Source organism: Homo sapiens, chromosome 9 (genome assembly GCF_000001405.40).
Source record: "Homo sapiens chromosome 9, GRCh38.p14 Primary Assembly".
NCBI lineage: Eukaryota > Metazoa > Chordata > Mammalia > Primates > Hominidae > Homo > Homo sapiens.
In genome coordinates, this window is record NC_000009.12 from 72,555,412 (window position 1) to 72,577,619 (window position 22,208).

Consider the following 22,208-nt stretch of genomic DNA (forward strand, 5'->3'; position numbering starts at 1 on the left):
CTCTTGACCTCGTGACCCTCCCTCCTTGGCCTCCCAAAGTGCTGGGATTACAGGCGTGAGATACTGCGCCCGGCCCATACTCACAGATTTCTTTGTGATATTATCTCATTTGTTTTCACCACACCCAGATGATGTGGATGGTAGGAGAAATCCCATGCGAATAAGTGGAATATGTTAGTAACTGCTTCCTTGGGTCCTTTTGCCTCTGGACTTAACTCTTTTTTTTTGAGACGGAGTCTTGCTCTGTCACCCATGCTGGAGTGCAGTGGCGCAATCTTGGCTCACTGCAACCTCTGCCTCCCAGATTCAAGCAATTCTCCTGCCTCAGCCTCCCGAGTAGCTGGGATTACAGGCATGTGCTGCCACGCCTGGCTAATTTTTTTGTATTTTTAGTAGAGATGGGGTTTCACCATATTCCCCAGGCTGGTCTCAAACTCCTGACCTTGTGATCCACCCACCTTGACCACCCAAAGTGCTGGGATTAGAGGCATGAGCCACTGCACCTGGCCTGGACTTAACTCTTAAATGATGTTACCCAGGAAAACCAATCTATGACTAAGGCAAAAAAAAAAAAAAAAAAAAAAAAAAAAAAAGTTGCACAGAGAAGAGTGGAAATATCAGTAAATCAGAAGCTAGGCAGGCCTAATCCCTAATCCACTTGGTGACCTTCTGCAAAACACCTTTCTGTTAGCCTTTTCACCCGTGAATTTTTTTTTTTTTTTGAGACGGAGTTTCGCTTTGGTTAGCCAGACTGGAGTACAATGGTGCGATCTCAGCTCACTGCAACCTTCGCCTTCTGGGTTCAAGGGATTCTCCTGCCTCAGCCTCCTGAGTAGCTGGGATTACAGGAACCTGCCATCACACCCAGATAATTTTTGTATTTTTAGTAGAGATGGGGTTTCACCGTGTTGGCCAGGCTGGTCTTGAACTCCTGACCTCAGGTGATCCACCTTCCTCGGCTGCCCAAAGTGCTGGGATTACAGGCGTGAGTCACTGTGCCTGGCTTACTTGTGAAATTAAAGCTTCAACTTTTACTCCTTAGGAACGTCTCACAAATTTCCACACATAAATCTAAAGTAGACACTCCTGCTTGCCAAAAGCATACTCTCTAAAACATTGGTTCTCAGACGGACATAGTGGCTCATGCCTGTAATCCCAGCACTTTGGGAGGCCGAGACGGGTGGATCACTTGAGATCAGGAGTTTGAAACCAGCATGGCCAACATCGTGAAACCCCATTTCTACTGAAAATACAAAAAAAATTAGCCAGGTATGGTGGTGCGTGCCTGTAATCCCAGCTACTCGGGAGGCCGAAGCAGGAGAATCACTTGAACCTGGGAGGCGGAGGTTGCAGTGAGCCAGATCCCGCCACTGCACTCTAGCCTGGGAGATAGAGCGAGACTCTGTCTTGGAAACAAACAAACAAACAAACAAACAAAAAAATTGGTTCTTGAGCAGGGCAATTTCACCTCCAAGGGGACATTTGACAATGGCTGGGGACATTTTTGGTTGTCACATCTGGGGTTGGGGAGTGAAGTGCTATTGGCATCTAATACGTAGAGGCCAGGGATGCTGCTGAACATCCTGCAGTGCACAGGACAGCCCCTGACAGCATTAAACAGTCCAAAATGTCAATTGTTTTTTGAGGTTGAGAAACGCTGGTCTAAAAGAAATGACAGGACAGGTGGCTTGGCTCATGCCTATCATCCCAGCACTTTGGGAGGCTGAGGCGAGTGGATCACCTGAGGCCAGTAGCTTGAGACCAGCCTGGCCAACATGGTGAAACCTCTTCTCTACTAAAAATACAAACAATAGCCGGGCGTGGTGGCCCACACCTGTAATCCCAGCTATTCAGAAGGCCAAGGCAGGAGAATCGCTTGAACCCGGGGGGCAAAGATTGCAGTGAGCTAAGATCATGCCACTGCACTCCAGCCTGGGTGACAGAGTGAGACTCTCAAAAAAACAAACAAACAAAAAAACAGAAATGACTCAAATGTTTACAGTGATTACTTCTGGATGGGATTATGATAATTGTTTCTCTACTGTTCTAAAAAACTTTCTGTTCTTTCCAAATGTTTAATATTGAGCACTTATTTTACAATCATTAAACAAAGAAATGACAACAACTGTTAAAAAAAAATTCTTAAGAACTGAAAGGCAAACACCACCACCACTAAAGCCATGTCCCCCAGATCTAGGTTGTGAGTCACATGATACCGACTTCAGAGGCAGCATGTCTCAAGGCCTCTCCAATGTGTGTCAGGGACAGCAGTGGGAGTAGGGCCCTCTGAGTCAGCCTCTTTGACCTGGGATGCTGCAGGAGATCTTAGCAAACATTCAAGATTTTCACTGAGTCATTTGCCTGTGGCATTGATCTGCTCACTCAAGTCTTCCGGTGTTTTGGTGTGAGGGAGGCTAAAGAGGAAAAACAGCTGTTTAGTTTCTCATTGATTTGTATTGTCATTGAGCAATACCTGGAGCCCAAGTGGATGTCTTTTATTCTGTGGCCTCCACAGCTGGGTCAGTGTGGAAGGCTTCAGACCATGAGAAATTGTTCCTGGGAGTCAATTATTTTAATAAGTGAGATATCAGAGTATATTCACAGAAAGAGGCTTCCCTGGCACTGTAAGGGCAGCCAGGAATAAAATAAAAATGCTTCTTCAGTGAAGATAATTGTCCAAATTGAAGACATAGGAAATATTTCTAATTTGCCTGTGTATTTGGTGAACATTTCTCTCTCTCTCTCTCTTTCTCTCTTTCTCTCTCTCTCTCTCTTTCTGTCTCCATAAATGAAGACATGGGAAAATCTATTAAAAATTAAATTAAAATGCAACACTTTTACATAAACAAAATTCCCAATCACTCTCCTTACTTTACCTCAGCCCAACCAAATGTGAGTTAAATCTCTTCCCTTTCCCATGGGACACTAGCATCTTGGTGGCCCAGCTCAGTAGCTAAGCATAGAGTAATGAGTTTGTTAAATAATTTCAATTACATTGTTTTTGAGATTCCAGGGTCACAGGGAAATTCTGACCTGAATTATCTGGATGAACTCTCACAATTGTGCACTGCCTTGTTCAAATTTGGGAAGTGCTGAGAAGCACTCATCCAAGGGGTAGATCTGGACTTCAGCTCATGCAGCATAATAGAATTTCAGGCTCAGTGATTTCTAATCTGTTACCACTTGCCATTTTCTACTTGAAGAGGGCAGACACCTTCACTGATCTCTGTTTCTATTTCATCTTTTGAAAAATCGGGATGATAATGGTTATCTGGTTTACATGCTTTTACATGCTTGTCAGGAGTTATTTTAAAGCACTTTACAAATATAAAAATGTACAATAAAATTGCAGAGTCGGATGCAGCAACCCCTGTATCCTTTGAGGAATCTATCACAATTCATACCCCTCCCAAGCCAACTTTTCTGGTACTACTCTGGAAAATTGTGCTTATACAGTTAAAATTTTTATTTTCAAAAAGTTGTGTAATTCCCTTTTTCAACCATTTTTTTTTGTTATAAGAAATGCAATTAAAAACATACTTTTCTTTCCAAATAGAAGAGCCTATTCTGCCTTATAAGAATTGTTTGAAAGATTGAAGGACAAATGAAGTCATACAACTTCTCTGATACCATATTGAACTCAAATGAACACATTTTGAGGTAAGAAATGAGCCTGGAAGATTTTTCTTTTTTTTTTTTTTGAGATGGAGTCTTGCTTCGTCGCCCAGGCTGGAGTGCAATGGCGCAATCTTGGCTCACTGCAACCTCCGCCTCCTGGGTTCAAGTGATTCTCCTGCCTCAGCCTCCTGAGTAGCTGGGATTACAGGAGTGCTCCACCAGGCCTCACTAATTTTTTGTATTTTTAGTACAGATGGGTTTTCACCATGTTGGCCAGGTTGGTCTCAGACTCCTGACCTCATGATCCACCCGCCTTGGCTTCCCAAAGTGCTGGGATTACAGGCGTGAGCCACTGTGCCTGGCAAGAGATAGAATTTTTCACAAAAATAACTCATACCAGAAACTTTGTAGGCCCCCACCGATGCCCATAATCTTTAGGAAACAAACTCTAGTGTCACCTATTTCCTGATACCTTCTGTAACGACCAGGTCATATTCTGAGTTCCTACAGCACTCAGTGTTTCTCATCGGAGCTGTAGCAATGGAGTAATAAATGGCACTGCTCAGGAAGAGAGAATTCAGAAAGAAAAGAGCAGGGCCTAGAAAAGGAACAAACTTATCGGATGTGTAGAGAAAGAATCTGCAAAGCAAGTAATAAAATCCAGAAAAACGTGGTATCATGGTGGTCACAAAAAAAAGAGTGGTTAAATTTTCGAAAATGGAGACAAACCACTCACCATGATCGTGCCATCTGAATAGAAACACAGAAATGATGACAAAAAAATGGCTAAAGAAAGAAGGTCAACAACCATGTCCAATGCTTTGGATATTAAGAAGTGTTCAGATGGATTTAGCAAGTAGAAAGTCACTGACACTTGGTGCACAACCAGACCTCAATGTATTTAGGAGGAAACTGTTATTTTGGAACAATTGAAAGCTTTCATTTGGCTGAGAAATATCAACTCATTCTTAAATAGGTATGTTAGAAGGAGCCTCTGGGCCTGATATCTCCTTGATTACAAGGAAAATGAATAATAGTTGCGTCTGATAACCATGACATATCACCCCTATGTTTGCTTGTAGCTTTCAGCAGCTCAGAACATTGTTGAAAACACTCATTATCCCAATATCCCCAACAGGGAAGTGTTAAAACCTGCCTTGTGCAACTGTCAATCTCTGATGATTAGATAAAAACAATTATGTCATGAGTTGTAGCTATTGTTATTTACTTCCCAAGAGCCAGATTACACAGGTATCTGATTGCTGAAGCAATGTCTGGATGTACCACGAAATTCCACATGCATGTACAGTATAAACACCTCTGGCTATCACCTTATCTAATTTTGATCAGATACAGGTTAATCCCCTCCTGTATCTTTATATGTCCTGAATTTGCCTCATCCACCTGAACTTTGCCATAATTTACTCTCAATTTGTATGTGTCTGTGATGGAGTTGTTGTCATTTTCCTTTTCTTTTTCTTTTTTTTGAGGCCAAGTCTCTTTCTGTCACCCAGACTGGAGTGCAATGACGCGATCTCAGCTCACTGCAACCTCTGCCTCCCGGGTTCAAGTAATTCCCCTGCCTCAGCCTCCTAAATAGCTGGGACTACAGGTGCATGCCACCATGCCTGGCTAACTTTTTGTATTTTTAGTAGAGACGGGGTTTTACCGTGTTAGCCAGGATGGTCTCTTGATCCGCCCGCCTCCGCCTCCCAAAGTGCTGGGATTACAGGCATGAGCCACCGCGCCCGGCCTCATTTTCTCTATCTGTCTGCTTAATCAGGTTTTGCAAGTTTCACATTTCCTCAACTAAACTTCATTTTACCACCCAAGCAAACTTCATTATAATTATTTTATTTTTCTGATGACATCAGATTTCTGTAGGGGTACCTATTAGCTAGAGATACTTAGATTTTATTTTCCCAGCATGTGACTATTTCCCATTCTATACAACACAATGGCAAGAGCAGGAGTATGTTTTTGGACAATTAAAGAGAGAAAAGGCCGGGCGCGGTGGCCCATGCCTGTAATCCCAGCACTTTGGGAGGCTGAGGTGGGCAGATCATGAGGTCAGGAGATCAGGAGATTGAGACCATCCTGGCTAACACGGTGAAACCCCATCTCTACTAAAAATGCAAAAAATTAGCCGGGCGTGGTGGTGGGCACCTGTAGTCCCAGCTACTCTGGAGGGTGAGGCAGAATGGCGTGAACCCGGGAGGCACAGCTTGCAGTGAGCCGAGATCGTGCCACTGCACTCCAGCCTGGGCGGCAGAGCGAGACTCCGTCTCAAAAAAAAAAAAAAAAAAAAAAAGAGAGAGAGAAAATAACTCAGCTTCATTTAGATTTCTATTATTCTTCTCTGATCCATATAGTGGATGTTCACAGAAGTGTAGGAACCAAAACTATGCAAGTTAAACTGTTAATTTTAGAAGTTTATAGCAGTGATGTGGAAGGCTGACCAAAGTTGGCGCTTTGGTCTCACTATAAGCCATAGTAATAAATACATTAACAATGTCCACAAACAACAGTAGACACCATTTAGTAAGGGCTTGCTCCAAGCCAGGCACTGTTTTCAGCTTAAGTCTCACAGCCTTGTGAAGTAGATTCTGTCCCATCTTAGAGCAAGTTGGTCTGAGGATCCTCAAGGGTAAGGTCTCTTGCCAAAGGTCAGCAGAGGTAGTGAGTTCAGAACTGGGATTTAAATCCAGGCTGTTCTATTTCTATTCCACAATTCTGCCTCAACTGCTTCTCTACATTTTAGGCACACGTTTGAATACTGAAAATTTGGGTCACAGAGTTGGAGATGTTTCTTCTTCTAGGCCCCAAACCGGAGCGGGGTGCAGTGGCTCAAGCCTGTAATCCGCACTACTTGGGAAGCTGAGGCGGGAGGATCGCTTGAGCTCAGGAGTTTGAAGATACAGTCAGCTATGATCCTGCCACTGCACTCTAGCCTGGGCAACAGAACAAGATCCTATCTCTAAAAAAAAAAAAAAATTAAAATTTTAACACAAGGGCCCAAACAAGTCAACAGTAATTACAACATGATCTTTACTACTGTCTAATAACATCTCACAGTGCTTTAAACATACGTAGTTACCATTCTGTCCACTTGGTTGCCTGTAATATTAACTCAGTAAGTAGGAATACTTCCTGCCCTGACTAATATACTCATAAATATATGCTCTAAGTCAAGGGTCTTGCAGGTTCTGATTTAAAAAACACAATTTTTTTGAGGGTCACTGGCTTTACATTATCTCATTCTTTTCAAGTTCCTTTGTACGTAAAACATCCTATGCTCAGTTATATGATCTGTTCAACCTCCTGCTTGACAGATATGAAAACAGTGCTCTCATGTAATTTATGTAATTTACATTTTTACATATTTAGCAGTACACCTTTGTGCTATGTTATATTGTTTGAGAACTAATCTGTTTTTCTGATGGCTGGAAGTCTAAGTGAAAAGATTATACATGAAAATAATTCATGTTTATTATCACTAGGAGAAAGTAAGACAATTTAGTTTGATTCACAAGCATTTGAATCCCTATTGTGTCAGACATTGTATTGGAAACTGGGGATACAAGGAAGATATAACCTCATCTCTCAGAGTTCCCTAGTTATCCCATACATATATACAATTATTATTTGTCAATTAAATTTTTTTTAAAAATTTAGAAAGGAGTTTCCAAGTAAGAAAAATCATAGCGAAATGGTATAATTGGTATAATAACAGTTAATTAGCTATAGTATGAAAATACAGAGGAAGATCTAACTAAGTTGGGGATTATTAAAGAAAATTTAAATTAGCTGGGTGTGGCGGCAGACGCCTGTAACCCCAGCTACTTGGGAGGCTGAGGCAGGAGAATTGCTTGAACTCAGGTGGTGGAGGTTGCAGTGAGATGAGATCACTGGGTAACAGAACAAGACTCCGTCTCAAATAAAATAAAATAAAAAATAAAGAAAATTGGACAGAGATGTGGCATTTGAACTGTCTTTCAGATTAAGAAGAAAGTTACTAGTTAGCCAATTCAAATATAAGATTTACAAACATAGAGTACAGCATGAGCAAAGGTGTGGAGGTACAAAAAGAATAATGTTTTTGAGGGGAGAATAGCAAGTACTCTGGGGGTGGCCAAAGTTTGAGTTGTGTGGTTTTGGTGGTGGATGGAGATGCAGGAAGATTAGGAAGTAGATTGAGATCAGATTGAGAAAGGTCTTCCAGACCAGATGAAAAATTTTGCCATATTTAGGCAATAGGGAGCCCCAGAAATTGTTCAACCATCATCAGCTTTACATTTCACTATGGTAATTTGGCTTCATAAGAAGCATGGGTTGGAGATTGATAAGAGCAGACTCCAAGGGGCCAATTCATTAAACTCAACTGCCAATAATGCAAGAGACAATGAAAGCCAGAATGAACACAGTGACCATGGATGCCAGAGGCATTTCTAGGATTTTTGTAGAGGACTTAAGAGACCATTTGGGAGGGGAGGAAGGCAGAAGATAAGGGGAAAGAAGGAGTTGATATCTTTGATGACTGATGGCACTTTTGCTAAGATGAAGAATAAATGGTAGCAAGAATAAATTGACTGGGCGCAGTGGCTCATGCCTGTAATCCAACCATTTTGGGAGGCTGAGATGGGTGGATCACCTGAGGCCAGGAGCTCGAGACCAGCCTGGCCAACATGGTGAAACCCCATCTCTACTAAAAATAAAAAAAATTAGCTGGGCATGGTGGCGGGTGCCTGTAATCCCAGCTATTCGGGAGGCTGAGGCAGGAGAATCGCTTGAACCTCGAAGGTGGAGGCTGCAGTGAACGAGATCAAGTTATTGCATTCCAGCCTGGACAACAGGAGCAAAACTCTGGCTCAAAAAAAAAAAAAAAAAAAAAAAAGTATAAATTGGGGGAGGGGAGGAGATATAGGATTCCTATTGGAATGTATTGAGTTTGAGATTCCAGCCTGGACATATGGCACTCTTGAATTGTTTCCTAGGCGATCATATCACTGTCTTGATGATATCTTTAATCACACATATCACTTGTGGGGAAAGAAGAAACTTCAAGAGTTTTACACACCAATCCTTTACTTTGCCATCTAGACAAATTATATTTTTACCAATGCCATTTTTTGTTGTTATTTTGTGGGTTCTGCTTAAAACTTCCCCTATATTTTTCTAATTATGGTAACCTAGGGAAAACATCAAATTATGTTGATAAAATTGGCTACAATCTGGCTCTAATGATAATAGCTTAGAATCATGAAGCAGCAATATTTTATCCTGAGAGCAAACAAACTTTATCCTGAACACATGTGTTCTTTTGCCTTATTCATCTAATATTACTTGAAACTTTTATTTTTCCACTTTGAATAGTAGATTCTGCCAAGTGTTTTAAAAGCTTTTCTCTTTTTAGGGGAGGAGGGGAACAGCTTTTCTCCCTTTTGTCTGATAACTGAGGAGTGAAGATTTAATTGGTGAGAAAAATATACACACTATAAACCTCAGAATGTTCCCACTGCTTTTAATGTTTGATGTGCCTGACAGATTACCCTTTCAAAACAGATAATAGGATAGGTGGTGCTGGAAAAAAACTTTTCCATCCAAGACAAAACCACATGGACATTGAAAAGAACTGGCATTTGCCTAGACATTTAGTGGGGGACATGTCCTTAGGGCACAGATTCCATAGTGAAAGGCTCTTCTCCCCCTTCCACACACTCCAGCTCTCTCTAGAAGGTATAATGGAAAGAACTCTGAGCAAGAATCAGGAAGTTGGCCTTTGTTCCTGACTGTGCCACTTTGTGGAACTGGGCAGAACTTACCTCATTCTGTGCTTTAGCAGCTTCATTTGCAAAAATTAATGATTACCTCAAATGATTTCTGATTTTAGCCAAAATTAAATACAGTAGTTTTAAAACAACTGCTACATATTAACTACTTACGTATGTAATTTTGCACTCAAAATAAATTATATTATGGAAAAGAAACTCAACCTATGTTAACCATCCCTGTACTGATGAGGAAACTAAGACTTAGGAAAAAGAAGTGATTTACTCAGTATTGGGCAGTTAGTGAGCATTTTTGAGCCAAGGTCTTACTTTAACCAGAGACCTTTGCATAATATTGTACTGTTACTAAACACTTTCTATTATTTGACTAGAGGAACACAACATATTGATGCATTTGAAACAATAAAATAATAAATATTTTTCCTTACCCTCGGCAGAAACAGGATGATGAGAAACATTGACTAAAAATTTAATCAAGCCTTAAGGACAAATAGTATCACAGTTTTGAATAGGAGATTGGGTACCTTGGAAGTAATTATGAAGAGGTGTTTTAACTCAGCAGTAGGCTCTTTCTTATTCCTGCTAGGAATGAAGAAGCACAAATTGAAAGTGAAGAAGGAGGAAATAAAACACTGACTCTATGTGTAAGAAAGGTGACTTGCAAATTATGAGGCAGTTAGGAAAATGTTTATTTTTTCTTATTTTATAGGCTGTATATATTTGAGAATTAATAATTGTCCTTTGGAGGGTGTGTGTGTATGTGTATGTTGGAGCTTTGTGTGTGTTTTAGTCCATTTTCCTACTGCTATGTGAAGAAATGCCCGAGACGGTAATTTATAAAGAAAAAGAGGTTTAACGGACTCACCGTTCCACATGGCTGTGGAGGCCTCACAATCATGGTGGAAGGTGAAGGAGGAGCAAAGGCACATCTTACATGGTGGCAGGCAAGAGCGTGTGTGCAGGGGAATTGCCCTTTATAAAACCATCGGATCTCACGAGACTTATTCACTATCACAAGGACAGCATGGGAAAAACTTATCCCCATGATTCAATTACCTCCCACCAGCTCCCCTCAAGACACATGGGGATTATGGGAGCTACAATTCAAGATGAGATTTGGGTGGGGACACAGCCAAACTGTATCAGTATGCCTGTGTGTATGCATGTGCACGTATATAAATTTTTTCACTAGTGACTGATGGACCATCTATAAAATAAACAAAAGAGAAGAGACAGGGTCTCACTTTGCCTCCTAGGCTGGAATACAATGGCATGACCATAGCTCATTGCAGCCTCTAATTCCTGGGCTCAAGTGATCCTCCCTTCTGAGTAGCTGGGATTACAGGCACGTGCCATTATGCCCAACTAATGTTTTGTTTGTTTGTTGTGGAGATGGGAGATGGGAGTACTGCTATGTTACTCAGGCTGGTCTTGAACTCACTCCTGGCCTTAAGTGATCCTCTGGCTTTAGCATCCTAAACCACTACAATCTTAAAAAGGACCAGTTTCCTGGATTACCTCTCTCCCTCCATCATCCACTATCTGCCGTCAACTCTATAGAGTCAAGGGCTATCCCTGCCTTTTCAATAGAAGCCCTCAAGAAGTCACTCCATAGGGACTATCTTGGGCTTTGGGAAGTGTACAGGGTTGGGGTGGGTGGGAAGGTGAGGAGGAAAGGCCACTGTTTCAGGTGGGGTTGGAGGGAGATGGAAAATGGACCACAGAGGTTCAGAGAACAGGCCCTTTGTGGAAAGGGGGAGACCAAATAATGCTGCGTTGTGAAAGGTGAAACAGGCTGCAAACAGAAGGAGCCCACAGGAAGCCCTGCTCTGAGCAGCTGAACATTCTGGGGTCCTCAGACTCCGATAAAAAAGCACATTTAGCCTACAGCTTTATGCCCTTCCTCCTACCCTTGTGGACTCTGCCACAGACATGCCCTCCAGATTGATTCTATCCACTTGTCTCTAGTCTACTGCTACTATTTTAGTCTAAGGCCTTCTCCCCGCTTTCCTGGGTTATGGTCACAGACTCCTATCTGAGTTCCCAGCACCAGGTGCCCAGTTGTTTTCATCTCTTAACACATTCCACATATTATAGCAAGAGAGATCTTTCTCAAATGCAAATCAGACCTTGTTGCATCCCAATCTCAACCCCTTTAGTTGCTCTTCTCTTTGCCCTCATGGTCAAGTTCAAGCTCTCTAGTGTGGGGGCAGATGTTCCTTTATAATTTTTCTGCTTATGTCTCCTGCCTCAGGCCTCACAATTCTCCACCTCACAGATGATGTCTCAGCCATGATGAGTTCCTCTCAAATCCTTTAGGTTTCAGAGATGTCATTTCCCCTGGGAACATTTTCCTGACTCCTCGTTCCAAGCATATGTCTGTCTTTATGTTCCCATAGCACCTGATCATTGGATCATGGTAGGGTTTATCACGGTCTCGTATTTGTCTGCTTACTTGTCTGTATTCTTCACTTCTCAAATATGTCTTCTTTGTTCATCACTGTAACTCCTTTCCCCAGAATGTTCTCAGATATTTACACCCATCTTCCCCCTCTGTGAAGGGAATAAATGGATATATAACACTGTATTAGTCCATTCTCATGCCACTATGAAGAAATATCCAAGACTGGGTAATTTATAAAGAAAAGAGGTTTAAATGATTACAGTTCTGCATGGTTGGGGAGAACTCAGGAAACTTACAATTATGGCAGAGGCACCTCTTCACGGGGTGGCGGGAGAGAGAATAAGTGCAAGTAGGAGAAATGCCAGATGCTTCTAAAACTATCAGATCTCATGAGACTCACTCACTATCACAAGAACAGCACGGGGGAAACCGCCCCCCATGATCCGATTGCCTCTACCTGGTTCCACCCTAGACATGGTGATTATGGGAATTAAAATCCAAGGTGAAATTTTGGTGGGGATACAGAGCCAAACCATATTAAGCACCATCCTCAAAATAGCCTTCCAGCTGAAGACAGCTAAGGCACTCATGTAGTCTTATTTTGTCTCAGACAAATAATTTTACCTTTGAATCATTGTTCATTAATCTAGATTTTAACCTGAGGCCCTAAAAATTGTTTATCATCTTCTGGGAGATCTTACTCCTAGATGGTGTTTTATTCCACAGGTTAAATTTAAACTTGGGCCAAATCTCCATCCTTGTGGCCTGTGAGTACTGAATTTGGGACTGAAAGCCTGGGACTAACTGGAAGTGTGGAAAAGGAGGAGGGTGTGGCGCTGCCCTCAATGATTTTTTTTTTTTTTTAGGATTTCTGGTGGAAAAGGAGAGACACTCAGGAATCCCCAGATAAACATGGTTTAGCTTTTGTAGTCAGATCCTTTCCCCAAATTTACTGCTTCTTTCTCCACCACTTCTCAACCCCCCAAACTGAACTTGCCTCTTCAACACACTCCCTTGTGCCCTATAGACAGTCACAAGCTTGACCTATAGAGAGCATGTATTTCTTGAGGCAACGAAGGTAGGAAACCCTATTCTAAAATGTTTCTTACACTTTTGGCTCTGTCTAAATTCTCCATTTTTCAATTAAAATGGAAACGAGATTAGAATTCTATTCTAGTTATGAATATAATCAGAACACAATAAAGCAGAAAGATTGCTTCAGGCTCTTCTGTTAACGTTACATTTATTCAACAACTCTTTATGGGGACTTGCTATGAGTGAGGCACCAGGCTAGGCACCGCAGCTACAAAGGTGAAGAGAACATAGGCTCTTCTTCAAAGAAACTTACACTGTAAGCTTTATAGTTATGAAATCATGATTGCTTACCTTAAATGTTCTTGACCTACATTCTTAGATATTTTGAGTCTTGAGAAATTTGTTTATTTTTTTCATTATTATACAATGTCAATTAGCTCAGTGGAATCCAAGATGTTCGGCTAGCCTTCTGATCCAAGATAGTGGACCAAACATTTGTATTTACTCATTGTGCCCCTCCATACTTCTCTGAAATAAAAGTGTAGATCTTCAAAATTAAACATATCTATAAAGCAAAGGGAACAGAAGGGGACATTATCAGCAGATTAGACATTCCAAAAATTTTTTAGAAAATAAAAGCTAAATTGAATAGTAAGACACGGAATTATTAGATGTGTTTGGAAAACCAACAGCATGAACAAGATAATCCAAGAAAAACAAGTTGTCCCTTGGTGAAAATGGAAGGAATTTGAGAAATATAGAAGTGAACTAAACAATAAATACAGTCATCCCTTGGTATCTGTTGGGGACTGATTCCAGGACCTCCCTCAGATACCAAAATTTGGATGCCCAAGTCTCTGATATAAAATGGTACAGTATTTGCATACAGCCTATGCACATCCTACTGTATACTTTAAATCATCTTTAGATTACTTATAATACCTAATACAATGTAAATGCTTTGTAAATACTTGTTATATTGTATTGTTTAGGGAATAATGAGAGGAAAAAAAGTCTGTTCATGTTCAGTACAGATGCAACTTTTTTTTTTTCCAGAATCTTTTTAACCTATGGTTGGTTGGAATCCACAAATGTAGAACCCGGCTACAGAGAGCTGACTGTAATTAAAACCAACAGCTTCTATTTGGTATACTGAAAGAGAATTGGGAAATCATTAAATCCATAAAATAAGAACAGGATGGAGTGAAAAAAGCTGGACTCTGTGACGAAATGGACATATGTATGGATAAGAATCAGGAAAGTTTTCATAAAGGAAGTGCCAAACTGAGCTAGTTGGCCAAATGAACTATTCTCCAGGTGGATGGGGCAGGGCATTTAGGCAGAGGAAGCAACAAAGCACAGAGTGAAGCCCAGGAAACTACAGGTAGCTGCAGGGAGATGACGGGGCTACAGTGTGCATGGAGAGAGGCCAACATGGTGAGGTAGGCAGGAGGAGCTCCTGAAGGGCTCCAACCTGGGAAGCCAGGCTAAAGAGATGGCATTCTATCTTGTCAGTAATAAGAAGCATTGACATTTTGTAGAGATGATGAATTGAGGAAGGGATTTATGTGGTCATTTGTGGTTCTGGCTGATCCCCCTGAGTGCTGTCTGCTAGAAGGATTCCAAGGGTTAAGTCCTGAGGCGTGAAGAAGAACCGATCTGTAAGATAGCTTAACTAAGGTGGTAGCATTGGGATAAGGGTGTGGGGTGTGTGTGTGAGGGGGATACAAAGTTATTAAGGTGGTAGAATTGATGGCAACATTCATCTTGACAGAGAATACAGGATGAGGAGCAGATTTCAGAGGAATATAATGAGCCCTTTTTTAGATCTTTGTGAATGTTCAGAAATGGCAGCTGGTGTTGCATAATTGCAAAATTAGGGCTTAGTTAGTTATTGGCTTCTGAGAACGTAACTGCAGTTTTTTTCTTTCCCTCTGCCCCACTCTTTGAAAGGGGGTGGGGCTCAAAGAGTAGTGTGTGTGTGTGTGTGTGTGTGTGTGTGTGTGTGGTAAATACTTATATACAAATTTCTTTAGATTTTTCTTTATCTCCTTCACTCCTTTTCAACATTTTGGCTGGTTGTTCTGATATTACCAAGGTAATCCACAATTATGGCAAATATTCAAACAAAACAAATTATAGAAAGTCCAGAAAAAAAAACTCTGAAATACCTTTTCCAGAGACCACCATCATGAACAGTTTGGTCTACAGAATTACAAATCTTTTGAAGTATATAGTATATTCTTTTATGTGGCCATTCATTATATTTTATGGGATCTTAGTATTATTGCTTTTAAATTCATTTCTTATATTTTAAATTTGAAATACTTCAAAATATGCAGAAAAGTAGAGAAAATAACATTAACACCATATACTTACCATGTAGATTTAAGAGAAATCTACACTTTGCCAAATTTCCTTTTTTTTTTTTTTTTTTTTTTTTTTTTTTGAGACAGAGTCTTGCTCTGTCACCCAGGCTGGAGTGCAGTGGTGCGATCTCGGCTTACTGCAACCTCTGCCTCTTGGGTTCAAGCAATTCTCCTGCCTCAGCCTCCTGAGTAGCTGGGATTACAGGTACTCACCACCATGCTTGGCTAATTTTTGTATTTTTAGTAGAGATGGGGTTTTGCCATGTTGGCCAGGCTGGTCTCGAACTCCTGACCTCAAATGATCCACCTGCCTCGGCCTCCCAAAGTGCTGGGATTACAGGCATGAGCCACCGCACCCGACCAAATCTCCATTTTTGTAAATAATTTTTCAGATATAGAAAACTACCCAATTATGGCTGGGCATGGTGGCTCATGGCTATAATCCCAGCACATTGGGAGGCCAAGGCAGGCGGATCATTTGAGGTCAGGAGTTCGAGACCAGCCTGGCCAACATGGTGAAATCCCGCCTCTACAAAAAATATAAAAATTAGCCGGGCATGGTGGCAGGTGCCTGTAGTCCCAGCTACTTGGGAGGCTGAGGGAGGAAAATCACTTGAACCTGGGAGGCGGAGGTTGCAGTGAGCTGAGATAGCACCATTGCACTCCAGACTGGGTGACAGAACAAGACTCTGTCTCAAAAAAAAGAAAAGAAAAGTAAGAAAACTACCTGATTACTATTACTTCTCTCTTTCTCTCTCTCTCTCTGTGTTCTAGAGGTTTGCAGTATCCTGAAGCTGGTGTGAATCAACCTCACGCTTTTTTTTTTTTTCTTTTTTTTTGAGGTGGAGTCTCGCTCTGTCGCCCAGGCTGGAGTGCAATGGTGCAATCTTGGCTCACTGCACCTCCACCTCCTGGGTTCAAGTGATTCTCCTGCCTCAGCCTCCCGAGTGGCTGTGATTACAGGCATACACCGCCATGCCCAGCTAATTTTTTGTATTTTTAGTAAAGATGGGGTTTCACCATGTTGGCCAGGCTGGTCTACAAATGTATCTATCCATAAGCAATACCGTATATAGTAATATTTTTATTATTCTATTATTTCTATTGAATGTTTATATTCATAGTATCACACTGTACACATCCTTTTGCAATTTGCTTTCTTTAGAAGCAACAATATATTTTTGAGATTTATCATGTTGCTTTGTGTAGATTGCTTACTTTTTTTTTTTGATGGAGTTTCCCTCTTGTTGCTTAGGCTGGAGTGCAATGGCGTAATCTCGGCTCACCGCAACCTCTGCCTCCTGGATTCAAGAGATCCTCCTGCCTCAGCCTCTTGAGTAGCTGGGATTACAGGCATGTACTACCACACTCGGCTAATTTTGTATTTTTAGTAGAGATGGGCTTTCTCCATGTTGGTCAAGCTGGTCTCGAACTCCCAACCTCAGGTGATCTGCCCGCCTGGGCCTCCCAAAGTGCTGGGATTACAGGTGTGAGCCACTGTGCTTGGCCAATTATTTACTTTTTAATTTATTTTATGATACACAATTTGTCTCTTTATCTCACTTTATTTTTTGATTTTTTTTTTTTTAAACCAGGATCTCACTTGGTCACCCAGGCTGGAGTGCAGTGGCGTGATCTCGGCTCACTGCATCCCCTGCCTCCCAGGTGCAAGCAATTCTCCTGCCTTGGCCTCCTGAGTAGCTAGGACTATAGGGTGTACCACCACATCTGGTTAATTTTTGTATTTTAGTAGAGATGGTATTTTGTCATATTGGCCAGGCTGGTCTTGAACTGCTGGCTTCGAGCAATTTGCCCGCCTTGGCCTCCAAACTCTCTTTATTTTTTAGATATTGTTAACGGTACTATGGGCAGTATCCTTGAACATCTCTCTTTGTATAAATGTGAAAGACATTCATAGACATGGGACTAAAGGAGGTGCCCATAGTCAACCATGCTAGGCATTGACAAATGGCTTCCTAAAGGGGTAATACCTGTGTACATTGCCACTAGCAATTTGTACACTTTCTTGATTCCTTTCACTCTTGTCAAAACTTACTCTTTTTTAAATTTAAAATTATTGGCCAGGCCATGGTGGTTCATGACTGTAATCTCCCAGCACTTTGGGAGGCTGAGGCAGGTGGATCACCTGAAATCAGGAGTTTGAGACCAGCCTGGCCAAACATGGTGAAACCCTGTCTCTACTAAAAGTAGAAAAATTAACTGGGCATGGTGGTGGGTGCTTGTAATACCAGATACTCGGGAGGCTGAGGCAGGAGAATCGTTTGAACCTGGGAGGTGGAGGCTGTGGTAAGCCAAGATCACACCATTGCACTCCAACACAGGGGACAGAGTGAGACTCTGTCTCAAAAATAAAATAAAATAAAATAATTGTCAATATTGTTGGTTATGAAATGCTATCTCATTATTGTTTAAAGAGGCATTTCCCTTGATAACTAGTGAGGTTGAATTTTGTTTTCCAGATGTGCATGAGCCATTGGTTTTTTTCTGTTATGCATTTTCTATTCATATACTTTGACCACATGATATGTGCCTGGTCATAACCCATCAAACTCTTCTTTCTCTCAGATACTTCACTTTATGGAAATCTTTTTCACGTTTATCCCTCAAACCCAGAATTTTGAGTGTCATACCTGTTCTAACATAAATTTGAGGAAAATGAAGGCTAATTCAGAATAAAGAACTATATAAGCAGATGGACAGTGTGTTCTCCTCTAAATAGGGGTGCTAGGATAAGAGGCGGTAGGATAAATGCACAGCCTCAAAATCCACCACCCACTAAAGACCTCACAGTACATGATGACATTAGCATGCTGTGCCAGCATTTCTACCTACCACGATGACCTGGAATGAAGGACAAAAGGGGCAATTGTTAAGTCCTGTGCGTAAACTTTGGAAGAGAACATACCTTGCTTTAAACCATTAAGGGGGCAGGCAATAGATTCCTGTACAGGGTGGCTTAGCCAAAAGTGGCTGGTCTTGTTCTCATTTATATGGTTTATAATGATTCTAAATCATTCTCGGAGAAAAACAGACTCATTTCATCTCCCTTTAATTAGGATTTCTGTTACTGCAATATTTTAGTGGCATTTATGTCAAATGTTTTCTTTTGAGAACTTCTCCCTTTTACTGTCTTTTTTCTTTTATTTTAAACTTTTATTTTAGGTTAGGGGGTACATGTGAAAATTGGTTACATAGGTAAACTCATGTCAAGAGGGTTTGTTGTACGGATGATTCATCACCCAGGGATTAAGCTCAGTACTCAATAGTTATCTTTTCTGCTCCTCTCCCTCCTCCTACTTTCCACCCTCAAGTAGACCCCAGAGTCTGTTGTTTTCTTCTTTGTGTTCATAAGTTCTCATAATTTAGCTCCCACTTATATGTGAGAACACGCAGTATATGATTTTCTGTTCCTGCGTTAGTTTGCTGATGATAATAGCCTCCAGCTCCATCCATGTTCCTGCAAAAGCCATGATCTTGTTCCTTTTAATTTACTTTTTGCTATTCTGATTAGAGAGTGGCCATGCTCCATGCTCCATATGGATATTCTTTGGAAACAAAGCATTTTTGAAATGGTAGGATTGGGGCTAGTAAAAGAGAACAGAAAGAATTGTGAACAGGGTCTCCTCCAGTACAGATGGTTAAAGAACACAAATAGGGAAGTGTGATGAGTGACCTCCATTTAATTGGGCGCCCAAGCTCTTGGCTGCTCCAGCATGGGTTGCCATCCTGACTGATCCCTTGGCTCAGAAACAGATATGGTGCTATCAGGAAAGCAAGGCCAATATCTGAATATTGCAGCAGAGACTGCTCCCATTTCAGAAAGCAACCCAGATTAAAGTTGATGATTCAGTTTCAATAAATGCTTCCTTTTTTATAAAAGGCATTTAACATCACTCTTTCCCCTGGTAATATGGAATTAGCTTTTGGGATCAACTGGAAAATGTCAGAGGGCGATTGTAAAAGGCCACCTGCTAACCACAGGAAGCTGGGCTGATACAGAATGCCAGGTTAACTTAAGGTCGATAATGGTTACTTCCTTGTCACTTTTTACATGCATCCTTGCTCTGCAGTGGGGGTCATAAGAAGTAAGATGCATGCAAGGTGAATTTCTAGAAGTCAGCTTCTCTGAGAAGTATTCTCTGACCATACATTCCTACTAGTCCCCACATACGCTGCTGATCTCCCCATCTTCACCCCCATTGTTGAAATTGCTCCCTCATTGTAACTGTTCACTCATCTGTCTCCACCATAAAGCTTAGGCTCCTAGAAAGTCAGGACCAGAGCTAGTACAGTGCCCCATGTTCTTATGGAATGATTTTAGTGCCTTGAGTTTGGTGTGGTGACCAGAGCTGGTGGCCAACTGTCGTGAGGCCCCAGTCCTTCTTTTTGTCATGCTTTCCCTCCCAGCCCCTCCTTGACCACTCTTTCACCTCCATCTTTCTACTTATATAGAGACAAATAATAAGATGCTTGTACAAAGGGTGTACTTGTATTATCCCATTTGTGTTGATATTCCACAACAGCAAATTAGGTTTTTTTGTTTGTTTGTTTTTTGATGGAGTCTTGCTCTGTTGCCCAGGCTGGAGTGCAATGCGTGATCTCGGCTCACTGCAACCTCTGCCTCCCGGGTTCAAGTGATTCTCCTGCCTCAGCCTCCCGAGTAGCTAGGACTACAGGCACCCACCACCAAGCCCGGCTAATTTTTGTATTTTTAGTACTGACGGGGTTTCACCATATTGGCCAGGCTGGTCTTGAACTCCTGACCTCAGGTGATCTGCCCGCCTCGGCCTCCCAAAGTGCTGGGATTACACGTGTGAGCCACTGTGCCTGGCCTGATAAGGTTTAAAGATTAAATACCATGTCGTTAAATTTGCAAATCTCTCGAATAGGAAAATCAGGAACAATGACAACATTCGGAGCTTCCCAGAAGGTAACAACTATGGGGAGTTTTGTGGGCATCTGAGAGAAGCACACACACAGATGGTTTGCCTTTCATTGGTCCATTCTTGCCCAGAAGGCGACACTAACTGAAACAAAGAAGCCTCATATGAGAAGGACATGGGGTCACAGCAGCTTTTGGGGTGGCCCTGGGTCCTTGATCTGGTCTTTCTCTGGCTCATTTTGTATTGCTCACTTTGTTACTTCACAATCCAGGGCTTGTGACATTTTTCTTCTCTGGAGTGGAAATGACAGAGCTGCAGAACACAAGTTTCTGATTGGTTCCTATGAGTCAGGAAAGAGGGCCAGTTGAAACTGGGCTCACACACACACACACACACAAACTAGGCTCACATGTGTTTTCCCATCAGCTAAACAAGTTTTCAGAAGTACAGAAATAACTCGTTGGGGAAGGGGACCCAGGACAATGACAATGTTTTTGATGGTAATGTCTGCAGAAGTAAGGCAGGTTTCCTCTGTGCCTGAAAAGATGGCACCATTTGAGGAGATGGCATACTCGTGGTGGAATCTTCATTAAGATGTCAAACTAAGCTGTAGGAAATCAACTCTAGAAAACAGCTCTAATGTGAGAAAACATATATCCAGTTTTATAGAGCAAGAGCTGTGATCATGGTGACATTTAACAACTGTATTAGTTGGCCAAGAGGGTAAAAATATACTTGACCTCTTAGAGCACCATAAATACTCTCAGCTTGTGGGCCAACTGTGTCATGGTCTTTTTTCTAGCCCCTCCTCTTTCTCCCTTCCTTCTTGTCTCTCTCCTCCTCTCTCTTCCCTCCCCTTTCTCCTTTCTGACCCTCTTTTCTCTTCTCTATCTTCTCGAACCTTCCCTTCCTCCTCTCCTTTAGGTGCTCAGCACCTCTTTGATTCAATAAACATTTACGGAGCTCCTTCTTGTGCCAACGACTGTACACAGAGCTGGGATGTCAAGATGAATCAGTTACATTTCCTGCCCAATGCCAAGGGATGGCTTGATGGGTTTTGACCAGCCCCTCCCTGGACTCCCAATTTCTTTTTTTTTTTTTTCTTTTTTTTTTTTAGACGGAGTCTTGCTCTGTTGCCAGGCTGGAGTGCAGTGGCACGATCTCGGCTCACTGCAGTCTCTGTCTCCCTCCCAACTTCAAGCGATTCTCCTGCTCAGCCTCTCGAGTATCTGGGATTGCAGGCATGCGCCACCACACCCAGCTAATTTTTTTGTATTTTTAGTAGAGACAGGGTTTCACCATGTTGGCCAGGGTGGTCTGGATCTCCTGACCTCGTGATCCACCCGCCTTGGCTTCCCAAAGTGCTGGGAATACAGTCATGAGCCACCGCGCCCGGTGCCCTGGACTCCCAATTTCTACCTCCTGGAACGTGCTTTACTCACCAGCCTTGGTGTTATTCTGCAATATGGCCAACTGGGATTTTTTTCAATCTTACAGAAATTATTCTCGGAAATGTTTGCTATTTTTTTTTAATGAAGCTACAGCATACAATTTAAGGATAAATAATGTACTTACTCTGCAGCTATTGTTTCAAGTCAAATCCGCTGATTACTCCTCCAAAATTCTTTTCTTAATAAAATCTCTGACCCTTTCCTCTTCCTGTTAGAACTTCTGGAGCTACCATTGTTCCTCCTCTTGGGCTGCTCATAACCTAGGGGAGTCACAGTGAAATTACTTGCTTTAAAATTCTTTAATCACTCTGCGAGTTGTTAGGAAAAGCTGACACATCTGATTTGGAAACTCCCACTCCAGTGGACTGTTGTGCCTCAGCACACAGGGACGGGTGGAGCAAAGGAACAAGAAGCCAAAAACTCTCAGGGCACTTACTATGATTGTGTAAAAGAGAGACTCATCAATTAACACAGGTACTGGCAAGTGCACTTCATAATGCCTCCATTTCTAGACAGATCAAAAACAGTGTGCCCTGTCAATAAATGCTGAGTTTCTGTAGCAGCCTGATTGAGATCAGCTAACCTTTAGGCCAAAAGCGGGATTCTTCCTTGCTGAAGCTTTTGGCAAAGCATATTGA

General features: G+C 41.8%; 1 protein-coding gene and 1 long non-coding RNA gene across 3 annotated transcripts in view, besides 1 other annotated feature; one reads left to right on the forward strand and one right to left on the reverse strand.

Annotated features, from left to right (window-relative positions):
- The window catches only part of TMC1 (transmembrane channel like 1), a 316,690-nt gene that overhangs the window by 33,804 nt on the left and 260,678 nt on the right, over positions 1-22,208 (forward strand). The window lies entirely within an intron of this gene.
- Positions 1,911-3,110: an enhancer, noted in NCBI's record as "P300/CBP strongly-dependent group 1 enhancer chr9:75172238-75173437 (GRCh37/hg19 assembly coordinates)". NCBI's record gives its function as "activates an origin of replication core promoter dependent on BRD2, BRD4, P300/CBP, MED14 and CDK7 cofactors, with strong dependence on P300/CBP, by STARR-seq in HCT116 cells {active_cell/tissue: HCT116}" and the evidence as "EXISTENCE:reporter gene assay evidence [ECO:0000049][PMID:35650434]".
- LOC101927191 (uncharacterized) lies at positions 2,211-22,118 on the reverse strand. 2 transcript variants are annotated; one of them, XR_242619.5, is made up of 5 exons: positions 22,007-22,118; positions 21,695-21,830; positions 13,198-13,411; positions 11,863-11,960; positions 2,211-2,414 (listed from the first exon to the last, which is right to left on the reverse strand). It is a non-coding gene; the product is annotated as an uncharacterized LOC101927191 (long non-coding RNA). The 2 variants fall into 2 exon arrangements; XR_007061577.1 differs by lacking the exons at positions 2,211-2,414; positions 22,007-22,118 and having other exon boundaries at positions 9,057-11,960; positions 21,695-21,846.